Raw genomic sequence first — 27,988 nt, forward strand, 5'->3', positions numbered from 1 at the left:
ACTGTTGAAGGACCTTAATGGGATATTCTATCTACCAGTAATTGGTTAGGTAAGTGGGACAGATGGGACGACATGGGGTTTGAGCTTTGGGATAAACTGCTTAGGTTTAGATTCTAATTCTAAACCTAGGCATTTCATTGCTGGGGGATCCTATACAAATTTCCCACATTCTTTGTGCCTTAATTTCCTCATCCACAAATTAATAGAGATGGTATAAGATCTGCCTTAGAGGGCTGTTGTAAGAATTAAAGACCTTTCCATGCCCCGGGTGCTGAACTAAATTTTACTCTTTATTATCAGGAGGAATTGTTGCCTAAGGAAGACAAAGACCTCTGTATCAAGATGCGGAAAGAGTATACAGATAGGACTTGTCCAGACATCTTAGGGCTGAGCTCCTAAGCCATGAGTTTGGAAAAAGATGCTTTCTTTTTACAGATTCAGGGATAGGAGAGGGAACATTTGAGTCTTAATTTTGACTAAAACTTGGCTCTAAGGCTGTTGAGCCTAGATAGCTGTAGTGGAAGATGGAAAACCTATTTTTTTTTTTCCAAAGGGTTGAGTAATCTTTCAAGAAGTAGCTATTTGAAAACACTGTTCCTTTGAGTATTCTAGAAAATATTCTTTGTTCTGAGGAAATAAAATAGGCCATTTAGTTACACAAATAGAACGCAGAGCCGATTGGACAGATGTTTGCGATGCCGTTCAAGAGGGAAACATGCTTTGCTGAGAATGTCAAAGGTTGTCTATATTGAAGGCAGTTTTGCATTTAATTTCCTAGGGAAAAAGATGTATAACTATTTCAGATGGTTGCTTGTTCCTGCAGTATTTTGTATGTTTTTGCTCAGGAGTTGCTCACAGAAAATGAAGGAGCTATTTTTGGTGATTTTCCGGGCACAGAGTTACCTTAGGGTAACTGTGAGAACTAAGGTCCTTCATCTATCTGATAAGTAGACTGAACACACATTGTCCCACCCTGCATCCAACCTATTTGTACGAAGCTACACTGCCTCATGTTTCCTATACAGATGATTGAAGACATATCGTAAAGAGAAGAACTATAGTATCTTGCGGATGCTGCTCATGAATAGATGGACTAATCAAAACCCAATGTCACCTCAGTAGCAATGAGCACACCTAGTAGCCACATGTTGGTTTCTAAATACCATTCACTAAAAAGAATCAGAGTTCCTTGGAAAAATGGCTGATTGTAGGGGTGGAGCAAAATGATTCTGGAACATCTTGACATGCCAAAAAGTAACGAAGTGCTCAGAGAATGATGAGACCAATTCTAAAGGACGTAAGAGCCAGCTTTTAGAAGCTCCCACTGGCCAAATTTGGGGTAATATGAACATCAAAATAATGATAATACTTAAGAATTATAACCTATTGAATAAAGCAAGAAGGCATAGCCCATGCTGTTATTTAATAATAAAGGAAAGCTCATTTTTACAGTAGAATGACAACGAATACACGTAGAAGGCATGATGAAACTGGAATACCAGAATTTAGCAACCATTATAATATCAAGACAAACAAGAATCAAAGACCACTATAATGAGCAAACAATGGAGAAGTAACAGGATGGTATTTATATAATCTCAAAATACTTCTCAGAAAGATATTTATTAATTAAAAGAGTAAAATAATAATTTATAGTAGGGAGATTGTTCCATCATTTAGAAAAAGAATTTGTGCATGTGTAGAGACAGAGTAAAATGTTAATTAAGGAACCCAGGTGAAGATATGTGGGTATTCTTTGTACAATTCTTGCACTTTGTCTGAAGTTATGTCAAAATAAAACAAAAAAAGAGACAAATGCAAACTAAAAAAATCACAAGTGTAAAATTGTCCCTTCTTCCATTTTTCCAACCACCATCACTTCCTTTCTTCCTGAGGCCCAGACACTAAGCAAGGAGGGTGAGGAATGCGGCATTTCAACGGGGCCAAATTGAGGAGGCTTAATACGAAAGCGCCAAAAGCCAGGCAAGAAAATCACAGGTCTCCCCACACGGTGGGTGCCTGGGAAATTCTGAGGTCAGGATGCCCTGCTCCAGCGGCCTTCCTATGTTAAACCCAGCTCTTGGCTTTTTGAGGTCTGAAAAGCACCTAGGGTCTGTAACACCCTCATGCTGACTGAAAACTTTATCATCTGAGGTGACTTCCTATCCATTTATTTGCTTGATTCCTTCACCAGTCCAGTGACAGGGACTTAGCAGGACTTAACAACTCCCATTTTGCAGATGGAGAAACTGAGTTTCTGTTTATTATAACAGTGTGGGCTATGCCTTCTTGCTTTATTCAATAGGGCATCCTGCAGTAAGACTAAAACTCAGGTCTTGGCCGGGCACGGTGGCTCACGCCTGTAATCCCAGCACTTTAGGAGGCCGAGGTGGGTGGATCACCTGAGGTCAGGAGTTCGAGACCAGCCTGGACAATGTGGTGAAACCCCGTCTCTACTAAAAATACAAAAATTAGCTGGGTGTGGTGGCGCCCGCCTGTAATCCCAGCTACTGGGGAGGCTGAGGCAGGAGAAACCTGGGAGGCGGAGGTTGCAGTGAGCCAAGATCGCGCCATTGCACTCTAGCCTGGGCGACAGTGAGACCTCGTCTCAAACACAAAACAAAACAAAACAAAACAAAACAAACCAAAACAAAACAAAACAAACACCTCAGGTCTTTAGACCCGGGTTTAGTGACTTTTTCATGATAATAAAATCACAGGACGCCAGCGGAAAACAGTTCAGTTATTTCTATTCCCCAAAACTAGGCTGGACATTCTGTGTTTTTCACGGTGTGGTCCGAGACCACCAGCAGCAGCAGTAGCAGCAGCATCTGGGAATTTCTTAGAAATTTAAAAAACCGGGTTCCTCTAGACCTACTGAATCAGAAACTCTGGGAATGGGGCCCAGATACCTGCGTTTTAATACGTGTTCAGGTGACGGTGATGCACGTTGAAATTTAAATACCGCTCTGGGTAAATGTAGCATAACTCTTAATGCTTCTTATGACAATCATCTCTTTTCACATATGACTACTAGCCTCTCTCGATTAAAATATAAGTCATACAGAATTTGGCACAGAAACAAACGTAAGGAATTTTCTTAAAAGCATCATCGTTACCTTTCCTGGTAAATTTCTGTAACCTCTTCATAAACCGAGGGTTAATGGTTGATTGGGTTTCCTCTAGGGTAGGCCAAAGTATATGCTGAAGACAAGAGAGTAGAATTCCTCAAGAGTTTGGGAGGAGGGACTGATGACAATTTTTGGTGGTTGACTAAGTTTTTTAAAAAGCCACTTCTAAGGGTACATTCATTAACCAGTCAGCGAATCCACTTGTTCCAGCGAGAGGTGGGAGGTGGGGGCAGGGGTGGAGCGTGGGGAGGAGCGACACTCGCCGCTCCGGAATCCGTGCCTTCCAAGTGTCGCCGTTGCGTCCCCCGCAACCCCCGCTTTCTGATCTCCCTCGAGGCCCAACACCCAAAGGCTCACCCCTAGGCCATCCGCGCTCCCCGACCACCTCCCTCATAGGACTCCTTGGGATTCCTCAGGCCGCGTCCAGCCGAGGGGGTTCCCGGGCGCGGTGCGCACTGCCCGCCCCCTCACTGCCTCCTCCCGCGTCTCCGCCCCCGCGGGGCCGCTGGGCGCCCGGGGAGGCGAGGGTGCCGAGGCCGGAAAATGAGCGCTGCCCGAAGGGTGGCCCGGAGCTGCAGGTAACGCGGTCCAGAGCTCAGGCCGGAGCGGGCCCCGCACACCGTCCCTTCCCCGCAGCGACCCGCGGGCTGCGCCCAGGGACTGCGCCGGGCGCCCGGGCTGCAGGGACGCGGGCGCGGGGGAGGCGCGGCCAGCCCTGCCCTGGGGGACGGTCGCGCTCCCCGCTGGTCTTGCAGCCACGTCCCGGCGGCTGTTCCTGGGAGCGGCGGGAGGCGGCCTCGGTGAGCCAGGTCGGCGCGGCAGATGCCTGGGAAGATGGAGAAGTTTCTGCAGATCGCGCCTCACTCCCTGGCCATCGTCCTGGGCCCGGCAGAGGCGCCGGCGGGGGAAAGGCCAGGGGCAGCCCGGCCCGCGCCCCCGGCCCAGCCCCGCCAGCTCGCCCGGCACCACATCGGCTACGAGATCTTCGCCGACTTCAAAGCCGAGAACATGCAGCACTTCTGGAACAAGAAGGTCACGGCCGCGGTGGCCGAGACCTTCTTCCTGGGCTGGATCGACGAGCAGGTCCTGCTGATCCAGGGCAAGGAGGAACATCTGGAGGCGCTGCGCGAAGGCTGGACGCGCCGGGCCCTGCGGCCGCCCTCGGGCTTCCACATCCGCTGCCTGGGTGAGTGCGACCGCCGCGCGCCCGTCCCGTCCCTTCCCACCGGATCGCGTCCGTGCCGTGCGGTCGCGGGTGCCCCGCCCTGCCCCAGCCCGCCGCGGGCACCGCCGAGGCTCCCCTGGGTGCCCGCGTCCCTGCCGGGGGAGGAGCCGGGGGCCCTCTGCGAGCGTGGGATTGGGGAACTTCCTGGCACCGAAAGGAGGGAGCCGTCCCATTCCCGGTGCGCCGCCCCCGCCTGCCCGCGGGAGCCTCCCCGGTGGCGGGCGGTGCCTGAGGCCGGCCAGGTGGGCGCCGCGGCTCGGCGGGCGGCTCGGAGGGCGCGGCGCTCGGGGCGCGTGAGTGTCCCCCTCCCGGCACTGCTCCGCGGCTGGAGTGCGCGGGCCGGGCGGAGGTGGGCGGGGAGGATTCCGGGGCTCGGGTCGCGCGGGGCTCCCAGCTGGAGCGGCGGCTCAGGTGCGCCCGGGACGCCCTTCCCTGGGCGGCGACTGCGGGGGACGCGCCGGGAAGCTAGGGTTGAGGCTGAGTGTTGCGCGCACGCATTTCTCAACGAGGCAAGGCTGCAGAGTTCGTCTTAAATGTCTCACCTGCAGCACATCTCTCAAGTCGTTTTGTGTGTCTGAGGGAAGGAAGAGACACAAAGAGGCCGGAGGAAAAAAAATCTGATCCTCAACAAAAGAGAGCAAAACGTAAAGAGGGGCAGAGTCGCCCAGAGGTGAAGGTCGCCGCCGCGTTTCCAGTGCTGCTTTGACTTGCTGGTTTTTATTGCACTACTTCATTTCCCCTCCTTAATCCAGTTTGCATCGCCTGTAGAATATACTTTTGAGTTTTGTACTTTGGGTTTTATACTTTGAGTTTTTGTACTATTACATAGTAAATAGTAAAGCTTTAGGAAACAATTTCAAGGAAGAAAGCATTCTTTCTAGTCCCGCGGTTCAGAAATTCTTTCTTGACATTTTGGGAGGTCAAAAGTTCAAACGCTAAAAAACTGTAAAGCCGCCTTTTCTCGTTACCCGCTGTTGCTATGCCGCCTTCCTCTGAAGGATTAGCTGTTACCTGCTGATGTGACGCCATCTATGCGTGTGACGAATTTATAGCATTTTTATTTTGTTGTGTTTTGTCTATTTTGGCAGAGAAGAGATCTTTACAAAGCTTTCTTTGACTTGAGTAGACAAAAAGCTAGTAAAGCTTGCATCTTGTGTATTTTGTAACCTGCGCTGAATTTCAAAAGGTGCCTTGATTTTCTCAATTCTTTTGACTTTAGCAAGAACCTCAGTCTCTGAAATTAAGCGGCCTCCGTAAAGGGCCAAGGTGAACGCCTCTGAGACTTAACTTGCTTTTGCCCCGTAGGACTGTGACACATTAGGACGTAAGGATATACGTAGTCATTTATATGCACCGTATAGATTGCTCTACAGGCTTTTAATAATTTTCTTTGAAATTCGATTTCACACTTTTTAATGTTTTATTTTGCATAATTTCAAATATATACAAAAGTAGTATAACTCAAAAATATTATATTGAACCCCCACCGTGTACTCAACGTTCCGCTCCAAAAAGTATCAATGGCATGGCCGGTCTTACTGCATTTATACCCCCATCTACCCCCTACCCGTACTTTTTTGAAATCTCAGACATTATATCAACTTGATTTCATTTGTAAATATTTCAGTATGCTCATGTATTTTTTTTATTTCAGCAGAATTTATAAGTTCATAGGAATTGGTGATCTGTCATATTAACCAAAGAGAAATATTTTGGCAATTTTTAAAGGTTCCAAATTGCTCTAATTGGTTGACTGTTGCCCTGACCTGGGTAGGTGGCCTGGCCTGAGCTGTCTCTGCTGACTGGCAACTGATGGGGCCTGCCAGCCTCTGTAGTACTGAGCTCCTCACCTTACCTCTGCACCCTCAGAGGAAGCAGAGGGACTCCCTCTTAAAGCCCAAGCATCAGATAAAAGAGCAGGGGTGATACCTGCTGGGATCCAAGTGCTAACTTTCTTTTGAACTGCCTGGGGGGTGGGGTGGGTTAAAAATCTCCACTGGAATTCCAATTTTGCTTCAGTAATGACGGTAAAATGCTGAATTGTTTGAAAGATTTTTATCTACTATAAAAATTCTCAATATCTGCTGCAGGCTTCCTCATTTTTTTTTGTTGCCAGATCTTTTATTGGGCTTTGCAATTCCAGTCTGGAAGCTGATGAGGATTGGCTCACAACCTTTTATTCTGAGTCACAATACACGTGATGACAAGTTCAAATGCTGGCGGGGGGCCGGGGCGGTGATATGGGGGATCCTGGCTGAAACTCTGCTCTGAAAAGCGTGATGTTATAGGAATAGCCTAGAATCGATCTACTGCTAAACGTACAAAACCAGAAACCAAATGCTATCTTTGATACTTTATTATTAGTAATACATTTCTTGCAGCATCCCTTTCAATTGACCCCCATCTGTAGTACATATATCGTCAGGTCCTTTTACATTGTTTTGGGATTTTAGCTCATTATTTCATGCATATGAAACGGCCATAGAGCCAGACACATAGATGAGCTTTACAGGAGGCGCATTACATTCCCACTTGTTGAACTTGAATTAAGCTCATCAGTTACCAATAGTCCTCTGAAATAACTGGTAGCCAAAAGTTTGCTTAAGTCTTATCATTCTTGTGGGGGATACAGATTATTTATAAAAATTGGTTGTGTTTCAGATGATCTCTTAGATCCCACCATAGAGAGTGGTAATAAAAGTGTCCCATTAGATCCTGCCAGTGAAGAAAGGAGAGGAACGGTTTTGCCCTGTCTCTTGACTTGGGTTCGCCTGGGTGCATGATTTCACACAACCCAGAGCAGAGAGGCTCACAGGCGGGGCGAGACAGGCAAGCCCCGGTGCTTTTGTCTGGCTGTGCTGTGGTACAGTTGAGGCAAACCTACACTTTCACAGCAGGATTTGCCAGGAGTTAATATTTTATGCTGTAACTTGAAACACCTGTGTTGAAATCATAAGCATTTTGGTGCCTGTAATTCCAAAAGTATATGGTTCTAACCAACTGTAAAACTTCAGGTGAGGGTTGGACAACAAGGAGATAATTACTGGATTCAACAAGAAGCAGGGTGTTAAGCCACTCAAAGGAAAAGTGGTTTTGACTTGGCATCTTCCAATTCACTACTTAGAAATAACCTACTAGAATTTGCAAGTCCATTCTTAGAAATAACCTACTGTGGGCATATAGAAAAAAAGTTTGGACTTTTGATTTTCAGAACCCTTCAAAGGGTATACAGGATGCTGGTAATGTTTTAAAATTGTGCTATGTATTTTGAGTAAATCACAGTAAATTAAAGCCCATACATGTTTATTGAGTGCTTTCTAGCGCCAGCCTCTGTGTCACTCCTGCAAATAGGAAGACTGATGGGACATGCCATCTTTTGGGGTATTCTGACATAAGAAATTGAGAGTGTGCTAAATGCTTTGAGGACTCTTTGTTTTGAGTGAACGAGAAGCAGTTACTTCTGTCTTGTGAGCTGGTAGGGGAGGTTTCCCAGGTATGAGGCTTGAACTTGATCTTGTGCAGATGGAGATGGGGGTGGGGCGGGAGTTCCTGCAGAGCAGGAGAACTTTCCCTGCTGGGGAAGGAGGTGCCCGGAGCTTGAGTGAAGGCTTGGGGTTGGAGAGTTCCTGATGTGTTTGGAAACTGGCTGGGGTGATAAGACAATGGAAAGGTGGGAGAGGGCCAGATGTGAAGATCTAGAAGCCACTGGAGGCTTCTAAGCAAGGGTGGGAATGAAGTGATTTGATCTGTGTTACAATGAGAATTCCATGCCAGTGAGGGTGAAGGGTGGGACTGGGAGGGGATTAGAAAGAAATAGGAGCACTAGCTAGGCCTATTGAAACAGAGGGAGAAATGCCAAGTGCTTCTTTAGAGTGTTTGCTCTCCTTCGGTACACTTGCACAGGCCACGGTTAGTACCCGAAGAAAGACACCATTAGTCTGGTTGAGGCTGGAGGGCCTTCTAGCCTCGGCCACAAGCCCTTAGCCTTTGTGTGGAGCCATGTGCGTGCTCCCCCTCCAGACCTCAGGGAGCACAGGTGCATCTCTGTCCCCAAATGGGAAAGTGGCACTTTACACTTTCCCATTTGATCCTCACATGTTTAAATAGTTCAGACCAAATACACTTTTTTAGACTTTATATCAGAACTTGTATTTTGCATTATAAAATTGTTTAGAACACATGGGCATCAAGATTTTATTCTTTTCCAAAATTTTTATTGGTTTTCTCAAAAAGAGTTGCTTTCTTGAAGTGATTTCCCCAAATAGTAGATTTTTAAGACAGATTTCTTTTTTGTTTTTGAGACAAGGTTTCATTCTGTTGCCCAGGCTGGAGTGCAGTGGCACTATCATGGCTCACTGCAGCCTCCAACTCCTGAGCTCAAGTGGTCCTCCTGCCTCAGCCTCCCTAGTAGGTGGGCTATAGGCACACACCACTAAGCCTGGCTAATTTTTAACTTTTTTTTTTTGTAGAGACAGGGTCTCCCTATGTTGCCAAGGCTGGTTGTATTAGTCCATTTTTCTTTTTTTTTTGAGGCGGAGTCTCGCTCTGTCGCCCAGGCTGGAGTGCAGTGGTGCGATCTCGGCTCATTGCAAGCTCCGCCTCCCGGGTTCACGCCATTCTCCTGCCTCAGCCTCCCGAGTAGCTGGGACTACAAGTAGTTGGGACTACAGGCGCCTGCCAACACACCTGGCTGATTTTTTGTATTTTTAGTAGAGACGGGGTCTCACCGTATTAGCCGTGATGGTCTCGATCTCCTGACCTCTTGATCCGCCTGCCTTGGCCTTCCAAAGTGCTGGGGTTACAGGCGTGAGCCACCGCACCCGGCCCGTATCAGTCCATTTTTATGCTGCTGTTAAAGACACACCTGAGACTGGGCAATTTACAAAGGAAAGAAGTTTAATGGAGAACTCACAGTTTCACATGGCTGGGGAAGCCTCACAATCATGGCAGAAGGCAAGGAGGAGCAAGTCACATCTTACGTGGATGGCAGCAGGCAAAGAGAGCTTGTGCAAGCAAACTCCCTTTTTTAAAACCATCAGATCTCGTGAAACCCATTCACTATCATGAGAATAGCACGGGAAAGATCCGTCCCCATAATTCAGTCATCTCCCACAGGGTCCCTCCCATAACATGTGGGAATTATGGGAGCTATAAGACGAGATTTGGGTGGGGACACAGCTCCAAACCAAATCACTGGTTTTGAACTCCTGGCCTCAAGCAGTCCTCCTGTCTCAGCCTCCTAAAGTGCTGAGATTACAGATGTTAGCACCTAAGCCTGGCCTAGAATTATTAAAAAAAAATGTACACTCCACAGACATTTGTATACTCAAAAGAAGTTACAGTTCAATAACTTACTTAAGTCAACTTAAAATTGAATAATATTCCTAGACGAATAGCTTGAATTGCTTAACAATTGTTTTAAAGCCTTTTAAATTGTAGATATTGATTCATTCAGTGACTAGAGCATTCACCAGTTCCTGGGATGTGTTCTAGGCACTGAAGTGGAGAACAAGTCAGATACAGTCCCTGTACTTTTGGAGGCTCCATTCTAGTGGCACAACAGACATTTGAAAAATTAAAGAAATGGTCTGGGCGTAGTGGCTCACACCTGTAATCCCAGCACTTTGGGAGGCTGAGGCAGGTGGGCCACCTGAGGTCAGGACTTTGAGACCAGCCTGGCCAACATGGTGAAACCCTGTCTCTACTAAAAACACAAAAATTAGCCAGGTGTGGTGGCAGACACCTGTAATCCTAACTACTTGGGAGGCTGAGGCAGGAGAATCGCTTGAACCTGGGAGGCAGAAGTTGTAGTGAGCCGAGCTGAGATCACGACACTGCACTCCAGCCTGGGTGACAGTGAGACTCTGTCTCAAAAAAAAGAAAGAAAAGAATTAAAGAAATAAAAATTTCTAATATTTTTAAATGCTGTAAAAATTAAGCACTTGATAGAATAGAGAGCGCTGGGGAGAAATGACAGAATAGCTAACATTTACATTTATTGATCACCGACTATTTTCTAAATGCTTTATTTTTATGATCTAATCTAATCTTTAAGACACCTATACCATTTAGGTATCATTATTTTATCCATATACAAATAAGGACCTTAAGGAACAGAAAGATAAATGTTCTCCAGGGATGCCTACTTAATAAGTGATAGAGCCGGGATGTGAACCCAGGCCCTGGGATGCTAGAAGCAGTGTTTTGGATGACTACTCGACAGTACCTCATTTGGGGTGACACTTGACCAATGAGGCAGGTATCCACCAACCAGCAATGACAGAGGAGCAGGTGGAAATCAGCTTGCTATGCTGGAGAAACAGAGAGGGTGGCCCATGGGGCTGGGCTTGTTGAGCCAGGAAAGGAGAAGAAGGTGTGACTGCAGCTGAGGTCAGAAGCAGGCCCAGGCCAGGTCCTGTGGGGCCGTGTGGGATGGTATTCTGCAGAGAGAAGGCATGAGTCTCCAGAAATGTGCACTGGGTTGGGGTCGGCAGAAAATTTAGAGAAGTTTAAGAAGCGGGCCTGGCTCCTAAAGAAGCTTATCTCTTACATTAAAATCTCAGGATTAAGTCTAAACAGTGAACAAGGATGCATTTAAAACTTTAGTGACTTCTAGCTAGTCATAAAAACCATTTTTATGAATTATCTCACTTTGGCTCAAAGATGTTTTCAGCAAAGGCTGTCAGTTTCATTGTAATAAAGCATTTAGAATGAACTTCTGAGATTCCAGGTCTTGCTGTGATAAATCTGGCTTTGCAAAGATTTATAAATTTTACTGCTTATAGATTAATTATGATCTTGAGCACGTTTGTTTCCTTGTGGGTTTACTTTGAATTTGGAAAATAAATTGCATCAAGAGGTAAATTTGCTGGTTATTGCCAAGTTCTTTTAAAAGGGCTCATTAAACTGAAACGGTGTCTGTGTCTTGCGACGGGTTGAAAGTATTTAGATGCTTTCTGTTCCTGAGGTCGATCATATATTTTGCGGTAAAAACCCGGGAAAGTTCGTTATATACAAACTATTTGCTGCAAGGAATTTTAAATGTCTTCAGTCTGCCTAAAATATCACACACAGTGATGATCTGGTCACCTTAAAAATAAAATTTTCAGTGTATGAGGTGGGCTTTAACATTAGTTACTTGAAGTTTGGAGATTGTACTTGTATCCTTCTACTTAGTTTATATATTTGTTAAATAAGTTTTAAACCCTTGTTGCATAGCTGTAGACATGATATGATTTCCAACATTTCTTAATTTGGGGGAAACTAACGATATGGTCTATAGTTTATCTCAATGAGGAATAAATAGATGTATTGCCAAAGTACAAGCTTTGGATCTAATTTTTTAATTTATAGTATACTATAATAATAGCTAGATCTGGATTTTTAAGAAGGCCTTCTGTCAAGAGCTTTTAATCCACTTGAATCACAGTAGGCCAAGCATGGTGGCTCACGCCTATAATCCCAGCACTTTGGGATGCCTAAGTGAGGGGATCACTGGAGCCCAGGAGTTCTGGACCAGCCTGGGGCAAGATGGCAAGATCCCATTTCTACAAAAAAGTTTTAAAAAAATTAGCTGAGCATGGTGCTGTGTGACTGTGGTCCCAGCTACTTGAGAGGCTGAGGTGGGAGGATCGTTTGAGCCTGGGAGATGGAAGCTACAGTGAGCCAAGATTGTGCCACTGCAGTCTAGCGTGGGTGACAGAGTGAGACCCTATCTAAATAAATACAAAAAGTAAAAATAAAAATCACACTGGCGTGGGATGAGCTGGCTTAAACAGCTCTTGATAGCTTGGCATCAGTCTCTCTTGATGCGGACCAGTCAGGCTGGACACTACCAAGGGCCAGAGCTGGCGGTGTGTCTTTGAGAATTTGATAAATGGATAAATGACTTAGATAAAGAGGTAGAAAGGATTCATCCAAGTCTTTGGGGCCTGAATTAAGTGGGTAAGTTGAGAAAGTGCATGGGACAGTGGGAGACCCCATGCTGAGCAGATCCAGGTCTGAATTTGTCCTTATGACATTAACACTTTGGAAGCATACCTCTGTGCTGTAGATTTCACTCTGAAGATGAAAATAAACACGATTAAAGACTCCATTTTCCCAATTTATTGTGAAGGCCCTGTAATAATTTTCTAAAGTGACAGCCCATCTGTCAGTGTAAAATGACTTGCTTCTGTAAGCAGGATGTCACCTCCCCACTCCCCAATAACGTACGTTTGGGAAGCACATGATGTCCCTTAGTCTAGCTCTCTGGCATGGAAGCTGGGGATGCATAGTGAGTCCAAAATCACCTCCTTCTCATGAATCCGGGAGTCCCTGGAGCTCACGGAGGGCTTCCTGGTGTCTTGAAGGGGTGGAATCCAGTCTGGGGCGCCCCATCTTCCTGCCGCCTGAGGTTGCTGCAGCCTTCTGTCTTCACTGTGAACCCCGGGATACTGCGGCGGTGCTGGCTGGAAGGCTGGCTTCCCAGAGCAGTGACCCGCTGTGGCCTGCTTCCTGAGAGCTCTGCGTGTGACAGCATTTCCTTCTGTCTCAGCCTCTGCCAGCGCTGTGTCAGGTGCCTCCCTTCTTCCCCCGACCCCCACTTTCCCTCCAGGATTTGGACTATTTTTTCTTTTCAAACCATTGCAACAAAAGGTTATGATGACACCTCTGCCTTTCTACTTCTAAATAAGGTCCGCCGCCGTCCAAATTTTGAGGAAACAAACATTTATGTGTTCGTGTTCAGGACGGTAGGGCCCAGGACATGCCCTTGTAAGGCAAGTGGTCTTCAGAGATTCCAGACTCCCCCGCATGCACTGCCCCCACGGCCCCACAGCTCGAAGCCCCCATGCCTGGAGGGGGCCTTTGTGAGTCCCAGATGCTTTCTGACACTTTCTTTTTTTCTTTTTTTTTTGAGACGGAGTCTTGCTCTGTCGCCCAGGCTGGAGTGCAGTGGCGCGATCTCGGCTCACTGCAAGCTCCGTCTCCCGGGTTCACGCCATTCTCCTGCTTCAGCCTCCCGAGTAGCTGGGACTGCAGGCGACCACCACCACGCCCAGCTAATTTTTAGTATTTTTAGTAGAGACGGGGTTTCACCGCGTTAGCCATGATGGTCTCGATCTCCTGACCTCGTGATCTGCCCGTCTTGGCCTCCCAAAGTGCTGGGATTACAGGCCTGAACCACCGCGCCCGGCCTCTGACACTTTCATGCTGAAAAAGGGAGGAGAACTTCTCCATATTTAGAGGGGCACCACGGTGGATATGATTTCCAAAACAAATTTTATTATGGACAGCAGTCCCCAGGCCCTTCTGGTGTGACCCCTTTGGGATGCTTTCCACTCTTGGGACAGTCCTGCAGTCCTTGCAAACCACCTGTCAGCCTAAGGCGCCAGTGAGCCTGCCCGAGCCGCCAGGGTTTGCAGCCTCTCTGGCCACCGTGTCTCATCGCCTTCCCTCTTTGTCATTTGGCTTTGGGTGACACCTTCTCTAGGGAACACTTGCGCTTTATCTCTGCGGCCTTCACAGCCCCACACCCCACACCCACCCCACTCCCAGCTCAGCTTCTTAATCCTGCCTGCTTGTTTGGCAGCCCTGGTGGGTGGATGGAGCTGGAAGAGGCTGAGCTGGGGGAGGTGGGGTAGGCAGGTGAGGGCCCAGGGTGCTCTTGAAGCAGTGGGCTGTCAGCAGGGAGATGGGAGCATGGGAGACGGCCCAGATGCATGACTGGGAGCTGAAAAAAGGCGAGGGAGAAGATAGAGGAAGAGGAGGTGTGAGGGGAGCAGCTGCCTGCTGTCCGTGAGGCTGCAGCGGAAGGCTCTTGCTGGGAATCAGGCCGCTTTCTTTGTGGATTTATCTACCCAACAGGCCTGCGGGGCGGGCTGAGCTCTCCCAGCCAATTTCGCCAAGGCCAGGAGGAGGACTAAGGGATCAGCGCGGGTTCCCGTAGCAGATGGACCCCACATTACACCTGCTGGGTGAAAAGAACTGTCCAGTCTGGACGAATCACTTTGGTTTTTCCTTTTTAAATCTCTGTTCTCTGGTCAATAAACCAGACTCTCCTGGACTCTTCCTGAGGAAGTGAAAGGAGGATACAGCTCAGTGAACTCTGCGGCGCTTCTGGAAAGAAATCCAGTTCTCTATCTCATCGGTTAGGGTTACATCTCTCCTGTAGTCTTGTTACAGCGCCACCATTCATTCCAATCCTCGCCTGACTCCCTCCAGCAGTGCCTCTGGGCTCCAGGTTCTCCTGACCGGTCACTTCCCCTCTGTCCTGGGTTGGTCGTGATAGGCTGGGAAAGCCTTGGAAGGCCTGCTCACTTTGGAGTTAATATAGAACCGCAGAGACGGGAAGCATCCTTTGTTTTTTGTTTTGGGGGACTTTGTGACTAGCATAATTTGTCTAGGTTGATCACTTTCCTTTCATCAGAGCCTGGTTATTAATTTGTAACAAAAAGTTTGTCCAAGGAAAGTCTTTAATCGTTAGTAGACTGTGAGGTAATGTAGAAAATGCAGAAAGCAGTACGTTTTAAATATAGGAAATGCAGTAATGTAGAAAAACAAAAGCAGTACTTTAGACACTGTCTGTTCCCAGATAATAATGGTTACTCTAGCATCTTTGTTTCATTTTTACCTGTATCTTTAGCATTTCCTCTTATATTGAAAAAGGAACATTCTAGAAGACAGTCTTTATGCTATATACTTCTTCATTCTGTTAGATCAGGGGTGTCCAATCTTTTGGCTTCCCTGGGCCACATAGGAAGAAGAATTGTCTTGGGCTACACATAAAATACACTGACACTAATGGTAGCTGATGAGCTAAAAAAAATGGCAAAAAAAATCTCATACTGTTTTAAGAAACTTTAAGACACTGGGGGTCTTGATTGCTTTGAATTGTTTTTCTAGGGGTAGTGATGAATTTGTACTAAAGTTTTCATCTGTACGCATTGTAAACAATAGGACATGCTTGAATTTTGTGGAATTTGGATACGAATTAGAGCTGTTATTTATTTATTTATTTTTGAGACAGAGGGAGTCTTGCTCTGTCTCCCAGGCTGGAGTACAGTGGTGTGATCACGGCTCACTGCAACCTTGAGCTCTCAGACTCAAGAGATCCTTCCGCTTCAGCCTCCCAAGTAACTGGGGCTACAGGCATGAGCCACCACACCCAGCTAACTTTAAAATAAAGTTTTTTTTAGTGGAGATGACATGTCACTATGTTGCCCAGGCTGGTCTCGAACTCTTCCTCAAGTGATCCTCTCGCCTTGGCCTCCCAAAGTGCTGGGATTACAGGCGTGAGCCACTGTGCCTGGCCTGATCTGATTTTTATTTTTATTTATTTATTGAGACGGAGTCTTGCTCTGTCACCAGGCTGGAGTGCAGTGGCTCGATCTCGGCTAACTGCAACCTCTGCCTCCCTTGTTCAAGTGATTCTTCTGCCTCAGCCTCCTGAGTAGCTGGGATTCCAGGCACGTGCCATCACACCCAGCTAATTTTTCTACTTTTAGTAGAGACGGAGTTTCACCATGTTGGCCAGGATGGTCTCGATTTCCTGACCTCGTGATCTGCCCACCTCAGCCTCCCAAAGTGCTGAAATTACAGGTGTGAGCTACCATTCCCGGCCCTGACTTTTATTTTTTAAGTCAACTCTCCACTTTTGGAGAAATACAGAGATTTGTGTTTTGATTATGTACTTGACTTTCTAGAAGCCAAAACAGAAAAACATACAGACTTTCAACATTACCGTTGTATCTTTTCCTTTAGTACACTTATTTTGCATTTGCTATTTTTGATAAAATGTTTTAAGTGCTGTTTCCCTCTGAAATACTTTTTAAAAGTTGAATTATGAGCATCTTTTATTCTCCAAAAAATTATAGATAGGTTTTTCTATGGAAGACTGTGAAATGTCAGCTTTTTGTAAATCACTAACAGTAAACTGAATTCATAGAGCATAACTCTCGAATGTTCACTGCCATTTTTACCTATGAAGAATTAACTTGTTTGGTGGTTTCCTTTTGACCTTGTAACTACAGTACTGCTCTGCATGGATAAATAAACCCGGATTCTCTACCCTTGACCCTAAGGAGGAGTAGTGGGGACAGAGGTAAGTGTAGCTGCCACCTTGCAGTTGCAGGGAGGGACTGGTGTAGGAATGAGTTGGTAAAATGCTCACTTTCTGGCCCAGAAACCTCCTTCATTGTGTATCTGGACCAGGGACTGTTGAGGATGCTTCTGCCCTAGGTTAAAGAAAAAATTATTTAATGTTACTTTTAAAGTACTGTGAGGAAGGCTTTATCAGGACCACCATGGTAGGTACAGGAAGCAGTGCAACAAGGTTTTGCAGTAGGGGAGAGAAATTAGGCTCAACTCCAAACACAGCATGGGCAAGTGGCAATTCATTGCCAAAGAAAGAGCTGGGTGGAAGTCAGTGGCTGGAAAATTACTACCAAGAAACATCAGGGGTGCTGTGGTTTAAATGTGTTCCCCAAAGTTCGTATCTTGGAATCTAATCCCCAGTGCAACAGCGTTGACAGGTGGGAACTGTAAGAGGTGATTAGGCAATGAGTCCTTTGCCCTCATCAATGGATTAATGCTGTTATCTTGGGAGTGGGTTCTGGATAAATGGATGAATTGCCTGCACCCTCACCCCCACCCCCACCCCATGCAATGGCTTCTCCCATGTTGTGGCACAGCAGGGGGCCCTCACAAAATTCAGCCCCTTGATTTTGGACTTCCCAGCCTCCAGAACCATAAGCCAGATATACTTCTGTTGTTCATAAATTAACCAATCTGTGGTATTCTGTTATAGCAGCACAACATGGACTAAGACAAGGCACGAGGGGATTTCTGGCTAAACCTACCTAATAGAATTCTTGCTGAAGACAGGCCAGGGTGATCAGACAGCACGTCGGGGGTGGTGGGGGATGAGAAACCTGATCAGATATCAAGGATTGGGGTTCTTGTCAAACCGATTTAGTGCAGGGTTCTTTTGCTAAAGTGATTTTACAAGGAAGTGTACAGATGGGCCTACGAGAAGGTTCAAGAGACTGACTACAGTTTGGCCAAGCAGAGAATCTTTGTCACTGACCAAGTTTCAAAGGACGGGGAGGGGTGATAGATGGTACATGGGGACTGACACCCGTTTATTCTTAGGAGACTACATCAGTTGGTTTGGAAATTGGAATTGTTTTTGTTTGTTTCCAGTTTATATTGTGTTAAGTCTATGTTAGATCCAGAATTCAAAAGCAGAAAGGTGAGAAATGTGGGCATTGCTATGGAGTTAAACTGGCTCACAGAACAAGCGGCTCCCTCAGGCAATCCTAGGAACAGATTTTCAGACGTTACAAGCACCAGGTATTTGATCCAGGCCTAAAGTATGAAGCGCCATGCTGTTCCTTTGGGTGACAAGTTTTGGTTTTTGTCACATGCTTCTCCTGTTTTAAATCTTCCATCTCCTTCATGTGGAAGAGATTGTTTATGTTTAAAACTGCTTATGCCAAATCAAGAAGTAAATAAAAGCAGGAAGGGGAATAGAAGCTGCTTATAGCAGCAAATCTTTAGTTTGAAGAAGTCCATGAAGACAGATTCACATGGAAATTGTTGATGGTGTTAATTCAGTGATATGTGACTAATTAGAAAATGTTTCCTGTGAAAAAAGTTTAATTCATGAATAGTTTTTTCCTCTCCTCTCTTTCTTCTTTTAAAAATGAATACTTTAGATATGTCTTTGACACTATGGAAGAGATAAGGTTCAGAAAGCTCCAAAATTTCTTTGTTTTCTTAAAATAATATCAGTTTCTTTTATTCTTAAGTGTGAGCCCATTTCTTATAAAATGACCTAGTGAGAAAGCCTGGATTTTTTTTTTTTTTTTTTTTTTTGAGACAGGGTCTCACTCTCACCCAGGCTAGGGTGCAGTGGTGTGATTATGGCTCACTGCAGCCTCTACCTTCTGGAATCAAGTGATCCTCCCACCTCAGCCTCCTCAGTAGTTGGAACTACAGGCATATGCCGCCACACCCAACTAACTTATTTTTATTTTTGTAGAGATGGGTCTCACTATGTTGCCCAGGCAGGTCTCAAACTCCTGAGCTCAAGCAACCCTTTTGCCTTGGCCTCCCAAAGCATTGGGATTACAGGGGTGAGCCACCATGCCCAGCCGTCTGTGATTTTCTTAAAGTCCAGCAGTTTGTAGCTATATTTGCAGTTAAAATGTGAAATCATATTTAGCCAGCAAATTTGCATGTAATTTGAATAAACTATAACTTTAAATTTACTTTAAATGTACTCAAACTGATGATTAATTGATAAAGTTGCATTGTGCTTAATACCTTTAAAAATGTCTATGCAATTTAAGGGTTTTTAGATTTGTTTAAAAAAGTGCTAAAATCAGTATTAAATTTTTAAATGATTTTTTCTTCCCTCATTAAAATTTCTGGAAGTTTATTAGTAGAAACTCAGTTACGTGCTGATAGAATATGCATTACAGTTGTTTCTAAAGAGCAGCTCAACATGAATTGGTGAGTTCACATCATTTCTGTGACTACTTGTGAGGACTGACTTTTCAGAATATAAATCTGTACTGCCCAGTCTAAGGATCGAGAGTGTGATCTAATAAAAAAAATGCTTTTACTTTCAAGGAGGGATTTAGAGTGTGTGCAGTTGTGTAGAGAGAATGTGAATGATTTTCTCTAAGCCCTGACCCCATGTACTCAAAAGTTCTGAACTCTAATGAATGAATGCAGCCCTTTGTAACACTGCTAACATATTTAATTTTCCAAGTATGTAGGTCATTGTGCTGATTTTGTTCTCATACCAAAAAGATTGTCCAAGCATTTCAATGAAGATATTTCACACACTGCCTTCTCAAGTCATAAAAGTTGAAAATGATTACCATTTATGTGATCAATTATTTAAAAAAATAATTTGCATTTAAAGTCAGCCCTCCGTGTCTGTGGGTTCTGGGGCCACAGATTCAGCCAATGGCAGATGGAAAATATTCAGAAAAAATACAAATAAAAAACCAATACAGGCAGGGCATGGTGGCTCATGCCTGTAATCCCAGCACTTTGGGAAGCCGAGGGGGGCAGATCACTTGAGGTCAGGAGTTGGAGACCAGTGTGTCCACATGGTGAAAACCCGTCTCTACTAAAAATACAAAAATTAGCCGGGCAAGGTGGCGGGCACCTGTAATTCCAGCTACTTGGGAGGCTGAGGCAGGAGAATTGCTTGAACCCGGGAAGTGGAGGTTGCAGTGAGCTGAGATCATGCCATTGCCCTCCAGCTTGGGTGACAGAGTGAGACCCTGTCTCAAAAAGAAAAAAGAAAAAACAGCCAATGTAGTCTAACAACTATTTACATTGCTTTAGGTATTATGGGTAAGCTAGAGATGATTTAAAGAATCTGGAAGGATGTGAGTAGGTTATCTGTGAATACTCTGCCATTTGATGTCAGGGACTTGAGCATCCGTGGATTTTCGTATTCTTGGTATCTGATCCTCTGTACCGAGGGAGGCCTGTGTGTTCTACTTGCTTATGTTAGCAGGACACTTTGAATGTGTCTTTCCCATTAGATTGTAATTCCTTTGAGGGTGGAGACTATAAACTTCAGTTTATATTTTCGAGCTCAGTTTTCTATGTAATGTGGATCTATAAGTATTACATAAATATCCTCACAGGTAGAGTCAATGCTAATTGGCGGCTGGTAGTAATTTCTAAACTACCATTTTAACACTGGGGGAAAAACACTCAGTACTGACAAGGGTAAAATAAATCTGATACCTTAATGTGCTGCCAGTGAAATTATAAGTTGAAAAAACTCTTCTTTGGAAAGTATCTTGGCAGTCTGTATGAGAAAGCCATCTAAATGTTCATATAGTTTGATGTAGTAATTTTATTTCTGGGGCTATCTCTAAGATAATATTGCAAAATTTTGGAATATTTGTAATATTGTCTTAGAGATAGTCCTAGAAATAGAGTTACTGCATCTTACATTTTGTAGAGAGCTATATGTAGGAAGCTATTCATTACACAATTTTTAAGGAAGAAAAATTGCATATAATCTAAATGCCACGAATGGAAAATATTAGGTAAATTATGGTTCTTTATATTGGATGGAATAGTATATAGCCGTTAAAATATCTATGAAGGTTATGAAGCAACATAGAAAAGTGCTTATGATATATAATGTCACTTAGAAACACATGGAATATTTCACAACAATACAAATTAGAACAGAATCTTAAACCAGATGCTTAGGGAAGATGGGAAAGAATAACAATAATTACTGTATATTGAGTAATTATTATGTTTTAGGGACTTTGCCGAGTAATTTTCTCACTTAATTTTTATAAATGGCTCTTGGTTTGTTCATTTTGCGGACAAAGACACTGAGCTTAGAGAGGTTGTGTAATCTTGCTCAGCCATGTTGAGTGATGGGACTGCATCGGGACCAGGTCTGCCTGTGGGATCCAGGGTCCGTGCTTGAAACTGGTAATTTGCAAATTTTTCTGTGTGTCAGAATCATCTGAGAACTTTAAATAGATAAATGAGTGAGCAAACAAATACATGCCCCGTGGCCCACCTCCTGAATTAGTCACCTGGCAGACAACCAGAGCCTGGCACGGTTTACACCAAGCCAGGGTCTAGTGCCAGCCTGTGGCCAGCATTTAGGACCCTCTGCACATTCCGTTTGTTGGGTACAACACAAATATTAAAATACATACAAAAATACACAAATATTAATACTGTGAATATTAATAGTGGTTGGATTTGGGTTAGAGAACTAAGTGATTTTAGTCTTTTTTCTTCATTTTCAGATTTTCTTTAGCGATAAATGATGTTACTTTGAGTATAAAGATTTAGTAAAAAGAAAATTGAATAAAAGATTTGATTTAGAGTCCTTCTTTTGGGGGGAATATTTTATTTTATTTTATTTTATTTTTTTTCAAGACAAGGTTTCGCTCTGTTGCCCACGCTGGAGTGCAGCAGTGTGATCATAGCTTGCTGTGGCTGCCTGGCTCAGGTGATCCTCTGACCTCAGCCTCCCGAGTGGCTGGGACTGTAGGTGTCCACCACCATGCCCAGCTAATTTTTTTTTTTTATTTTAATAGAGAAGGAGTCTTGCTATATTGCCAGGCTGGTCTCCAACTCAAGCGATCCTCCCGTCTCAGCCTCCCAATGTGCTGGGATTATAGGTGTGGACCACTGTGGGCCTGTGTTGTTGCTTTAAAAAACCCACTGTGAAGATGCATAAGTGGGGAAATGGAATTGTAGTCAAAAGAGGCTTAATCTTAGCAAAATACTATAAAATGTATCAGTCTAATGATGATGACACTTAATAGCATATATTAAATTTATTTCAGTTACAACATTGCTTTAGAAATTAAAATGAACTATAGATTTTTAATAAATGATATATTAATTATATCTCAATTTAAAAATAAAATAAAATAAATTGGACAATTACAAAAAGCCAGTGAGATTGGCCTGTTTAGCTCTTTGACAAGCAAGAGAGAAAACTATAATTGCAGAACATTTTTGTTGTGAAGGAAGGGGAATAAAATTCTTTTACTCATAGTTGAGAAGAAACAGAGTGAAGTGAGATATTAATTACAGGACACAGTGGACTTTATTGTTACTGTTCAACCTTGTGGTCCTCAGCATGGGTAGGTAAACACGAGATCTTTTGAATGAGGTCTCTCGAACACTGCATGGGCAACAAATGCGATACCTTAAATAAGGTATAAATGATGTTGAAAAGTGTCTATTTTCAGGAAGGCAGAGGAAAATGTCAAACTTTAGACAACTTGTGTGTGTATTTTTTTAAAATCAACCACTTATTTTTATATTATTGATACTATTGACATGAAATGATAAAAAATCTTGCATACGTGGTTGGACACCTGGAGTAACCTTAGCATCCAGTGTCCAACAGTACATTATTGTAACATCTTCCTCACTTTGCAGGCCTGCCAAATTTCAGAATTCCTGGGTCAATTTGGAAGAAAACCAAATCGATTCGTAAGGAATAACCAGCGATTTCATGAGTGATTCATGTGGACATGAATGTATATTGTGAAGAGTAAGAGGAATATTGGATATATTTTTAAAAGCTGAGCAGTGGTGCCAGTTAGCCTTAGTCATAAAAGTCTTATTTTAAAAATGGTGACGTCAATAGCAAGGTCATGGAATCAACACAAGTGCCCATCAACAGTGGATTAGATAAAGCATGGAATACTATGCAGCCATAAACAAGAATGAAATCATGTCCTTTGCAGCAACTTGGATGCAGCTGGAGGCCATTATCCTAAGTAAATTAATGCAGAAACAGAAAGTTAATATCATATGTTCTCACTTATAAGCGGGAGCAAAACAATGGGTACACATGCACATAAAAATCGGAACAGTAGACATCAGATACCCTAAAAGGAGGGAGGAGGAGGGGGAAGGGTGGAAACACCACCTATTGAGTACTGTATTCACTATTTGGGTGATGGGTTCACCAGAAGCTCAAACTTCAGCATTACATGATATATCTGTGTAACAAATCTGCACATGCATCCCCTGAATATAAAATTTAAAAAAAAAATTCAAAAAAATTTAAATGGTGAAGTGTATTCATTTATTTTGGAAACATCACTTTTCTTCCACACATGAGATGGAATGGAACTGGAACACATTATCGAAATCCACAAAAGCTGTGAAAATTTTATATTAAATAATCCTGTAACTTGAAAAGATTTTAAAAAGTCCTCATTAAAGATAGGCTCATGAAAATTAGCGTATTTTTGTGTCTGCCAAAACTTCTTTGCAGAGGAAATGGGGATGAAATTCCAGATGATGTCTTTGTCTAACTGTACGGGCAAGGGCTGCATTGGCTGAATTGATGACTTCGCTGAAGCTATTGAATTTCTAGTGTTGCCTCAGATCACGTCATCATTTTTGCTGTGAGCTCTGATAGTTGCAATTGTGTTCAACTCCTGGTGAGTGCAGCACATGCCTCAAGTCATGAGAGATGGAAAAGGACTACTGTTTTCTGCAGGTAGGTGGCCACCACTAAAGCTTTGAAATGGTGTCCACATTCTTGGAAGCTAGTGAACTGAAGCAAAGAGGAAAAGAACCCTCCAACTATTTTGGGGGCTGATCTGTGTCATTCATAAAAGAATGGCTTTCAAAACTGCTTAGTAATCTAGGGGAAAACCTCAGTCCTTACCAACAAGATGGTTCACTGGGTTCAAAAGAACGTGCCACACACCCGGAGGCGTGCCTTGCTTTGCAACCCTTTGCATGCTGGCTGCAGGGTCCGTCCTTTGCTGGCGATCAGTGGGAAGTATGGTTGCCAGACTATGAGCTGAAAGACATAGTAGCCCTATTTTTGGATCGCCAGGGAAAAAATCAAATTGTTTGTACTTAAGAAAAGTCCTCAGGTGGAGCATTGTGTATTTGGTAGAAAGACTGGAAACTCCAAATACACAGAAATAGAAATTTCAAGGGATAAAAACAAACATTATAGTTCATGCATTTATAAACAGGTTTTAAAATAATTATAAGCCACCAATTTGATGACACTCTCAAGACTTCGTGAGAGTGACTTTTGAGAAGTTACATCTCATCCAGTTTAGGTGAATTCAGGTCACCTACTCTTGACATGAGTAGAGATTTGCCTTTGTGACTTGTGAGGAGAGACCTTTTCTCACCGATGGTATTGAAAAGAGAACTCCAAGCGAGGTTTGGGAAGAGGAATTTGATTCAGGTGCCAGATATACTTTACAGATCACTGTGGTTATCTTACATTAAAACAAGCAAATGTGCATCTTCAGGTATTATCTTATTTCTTTCACTCACAGACATTTGCTGCACTGTTCTCCCCACCTCACGCAGCAGAACACTTGGGTATGAAGTAACTATCACTGTACTTTCGGTGAGCAAGCACCCTCAGCATTAAAAAAAATTACATGACAAGAAAAAATATGTATGTTTCAAGGCGACTATAAATATTTTTCTTTTTTTCTTTTCTTTTTTTTTTAGTATAATTTTTTTTTTTAATTGATCATTCTTGGGTGTTTCTCGCAGAGGGGGACTTGGCAGGGTCATAGGACAACAGTGGAGGGAAGGTCAGCAGATAAACAAGTGAACAAAGGTCTCTGGTTTTCCTAGGCAGAGGACCCTGCGGCCTTCCTCAGTGTTTGTGTCCCTGGGTACTTGAGATTAGGGAGTGGTGATGACTCTTAACGAGCATGCTGCCTTCAAGCATCTGTTTAACAAAGCACATCTTGCACCGCCCTTAATCCATTCAACCCTGAGTGGACACAGCACATGTTTCAGAGAGCACAGGTGTTGGAGGTAAGGTCACAGATCAACAGGATCCCAAGGCAGAAGAATTTTTCTTAGTACACAACAAAATGGAGTCTCCTATGTCTACTTCCTTCTACACAGACACAGCAACAATCTGATTTCTCTATCTTTTCCCCACATTTCCCCCTTTTCTATTCGACAAAACCGCCATCGTCATCATGGCCCGTTCTCAATGAGCTGTTGAGTACACCTCCCAGACGGGGTGGCGGCCGGGCAGAGGGGCCCCTCACTTCCCAGAAGGGGCGGCCGGGCAGAGGCGCCCCCCACCTCCCGGACGGGGTAGCCGGCTGGGCGGGGGCTGACTCCCCACCTCCCTCCTGGACAGGGCGGCTGCTGGGCGGAGACGCTCCCCACCTCCCAGACGGGGTGGCTGCCGGGCGGAGGGGCTCCTCACCTCCCAGACGGGGTCGCGACCGGGCAGAGGCGCTCCTCACATCCCAGACGGGGTGGTGGGGCAGAGGCGCGCGTCACTTCCTAGATGGGATGGCGGCCGGGAAGAGGCGGTCCTCACTTCCCAGACTGGGCAGCGGGGCAGAGGGGCTCCTCACATCTCAGACGATGGGTGGCCGGGCAGAGACCCTCCTCACTTCCTAGATGGGATGGCGGCTGGGCAGAGACGCTCCTCACTTTCCAGACTGGGCAGCCAGGCAGAGGGGCTCCTCACATCCCAGACGATGGGCGGCCAGGCAGAGACGCTCCTCACTTCCCAGAGGGGGTGGCAGCCAGGCAGAGGCTGCAATCTTGGCACTTTGGGAGGCCAAGGCAGGGGGCTGGGAGGTGGAGGTTGTAGAGAGCCGAGATCACGCCGCTGCACTCCAGCCTGGGCAACATTGAGCACTGAGTGAACGAGACTCCATCTGCAATCCCGGCACCTCGGGAGGCCGAGGCTAGCAGATCACTCCCGGTTAGGAGCTGGAGACCAGCCCGGCCAACACAGCGAAACCCCGTCTCCACCAAAAAAATACGAAAACCAGTCAGGCATGGCGGCGCGCGCCCACAATCGCAGGCACTGGGCAGGTTGAGGCAGGAGAATCAGGCAGGGAGGTTGCAGTGAGCAGAGATGGTGGCAGTACAGTCCTGCTTCGGCTGGGCATCAGAGGGAGACCGTGGAAAGAGAGGGAGAGGGAGACTGTGGGGAGAGGGAGAGGGGGAGGGGGAGGGAGAGGGAGAGTGGGAGGGGGAGGGGGAGGAGGGAGAGGCGAAATATTTTTCTTTTAAAATATCATTGCTTTGATGTTTTTCATTGATGCACTTAATTTTACTTCAGGTGAAATGAAAGGAGGGCGTGAGATATTTTATGTTCGTCAAAAGGAAGCATGGGTGAAAAAGGCTTGAACGGCATCGCCCCACTAAATCACAAGGAGGAGAATAAGGTTCTTTCTCCCTTTGCTTTGCTGGCTTTTGGGCCATGCTCTTTTTCCATGCAAACTGCCGTTGCCTTTGGAGGAGAAGGTGGTGAGGTTATGCTCTTAAATAGGGTAAGCAATGTTCTGGAAAATAGTTTTACAGTACAGTTGAGATTTGGAGTGCTTAGAGAATGTGCATTATGGTATAAGTATCAGAGTTAAACTAAAATCCCAATGAATATTAGTTCATAGTTCTTCTTTTACTCTCTTTTTGAAGTATGCGCTAGTCACACCATTAAAATGATCTGAAAAAATCCTGACTTTTTCTTTTTTTTAAGAGATGGGGTTTCACCATGTTGGCCGGGCTGGTCTCGAACTCCTGACCTCAAGTGATCCTCCCGCCTCGGCCTCCCAAAGTGCTGGGATTGTAAGCGTGAGCCACCATGCCCAGCTAGACTATTTTTATTTTATTACCAGATGATGTTCTGTGTTCATGAGGCTCATAACCTGTTTGTGCATGTGTGTCTCTGGTTTTCACATCTTGCCCCTACTATTAGGGTCTTATCTTGTGAGGAGGTGGGCCACTCCATGTCCCTTTCCTCTCCTATTGCCGCTTCTCTCATTGATGTCATTGTCAGGTGACAAACCTGGGTGCCCTGCCAGGAGCTCTGGATTTGAATGTGGGCCCTCATCCCTGCTCTACTCTTTAAAAGCTGCAGGGTCTCAGACAAGTGGCTCTCCTATTGGAGGATTCAATGAGATTAAAACCATAAATGTATCAATTTATTCTTTACTGTTTTAAAACTTTGAGTTTTGAGTAAATTTCTTTTGATCTGTCTGCTTATTTAGACATAACAGTATATGGTTATTAGAATTATTAGGCTATGTATCTTGCAAAGGACTGAAATTGTCATACTTAGTTTCAAAGTATGCAGATTGAATAACAGAAGCTGTCTGTGCAGTCAAATCTGGCTGATCCCCATTATGGTTTTTGAGACATTCAAGGTAACTCAGAAACCAGGAGATTAAAAAAAGAATGAAGCTAAGGAGTGTTTTGGCAGAGCACGGTGGTTAACTCCTATAGTCCCAGCACTGTGGTAGGCCGAGGTAGAAGGATCGCTTGAGCTCAGGAGTTCAAACACAACATAGTGAGACCCCGTCTCTACAAAAAAAAAAACACCAAAAATTAGCCTAGTGTGGTGGTGAACACCTGTAGTCCCAGCTACTCAGGAGGCTGAGGTGGCAGGGTTGCTTGAGTCCGGGAGGTCATGGTTACAGTGAGCTGTGATTGTGCCACTGTACTCCAGCCTCTGGCAACAGAGTGAGACCCTGTCTCAAAGAAAAAGAAAAAAGAAAAAGAAAAAAGAGATTTTTCTCTTCACGGTTCTGTTGAGTTCCTGGCCCTCCTTTCCTGATGCCAATCTAATATAGCATAACGACTTAATTTTGCTCTTGAATTGTACACAGAGGCTTGGTGAGAACCCTCCCTTGGCTGGAGGCCCGTGTGTAACCATATGGTGCTTCACGGAATGCAGATAATGGCTTTATTTTCCTCCCTGTCTTAATAGGTGGAAGCCTGTGCTAGCAGGTAGAGGATCTTTTATAAAGAACAAACGAAAGCATTACACTGATATTATTCATGCCAGAGCACAGCAACTGTTAGCTGCTCTGAAAATTGTAATTCCTTTTCTTCTACCTGCTGGATATTTTCACCCATGACCCTTAAGAGAATGCGGGTGATCCCAACCCTTGCTGCGAAGGTCATTGCTCACAGCTCCCCATCTTGCTGTGTCCTTTGTTCTGATGTCACTGGGGTTGGGCCTGAGGCCTCTTTGGGAGGCTGGCAGGCAGGTAGGCTGGGAAGGTGAGGGTTGGCAGTGTGTCCTCTTCCGGAACTGCAGGGTGCTGTCCCCACTGTCACACCCCACCACCTCCCTTTTGAGCCCTGCCTAGAG

The 27,988-nt window shown here is 44.9% G+C and overlaps 1 protein-coding gene across 2 annotated transcripts in view, besides 1 other annotated feature; it reads left to right on the top strand.

The window, feature by feature from the left end:
- Nucleotides 1-4,283: 4,283 nt before the first annotated feature.
- STOX2 (storkhead box 2) overlaps nucleotides 4,284-27,988 on the top strand; it is a 225,509-nt gene continuing 201,804 nt past the window's right edge. For both annotated transcript variants that reach the window (NR_132761.1, XM_017008466.2), the window contains exon 1: nucleotides 4,284-4,317. The gene's annotated coding sequence lies outside the window, so the exon portion shown is untranslated. The remainder of the gene's footprint in view (nucleotides 4,318-27,988) is intronic.
- Nucleotides 5,979-6,540: an enhancer, noted in NCBI's record as "NANOG hESC enhancer chr4:184720870-184721431 (GRCh37/hg19 assembly coordinates)". NCBI's record gives its function as "activates a minimal SCP1, AML or CMV promoter by ChIP-STARR-seq in naive H9 embryonic stem cells {active_cell/tissue: H9 hESC(naive)}" and the evidence as "EXISTENCE:reporter gene assay evidence [ECO:0000049][PMID:30033119]".

The sequence above is a fragment of the Homo sapiens genome, chromosome 4 (genome assembly GCF_000001405.40).
Source record: "Homo sapiens chromosome 4, GRCh38.p14 Primary Assembly".
Lineage (NCBI taxonomy): Eukaryota > Metazoa > Chordata > Mammalia > Primates > Hominidae > Homo > Homo sapiens.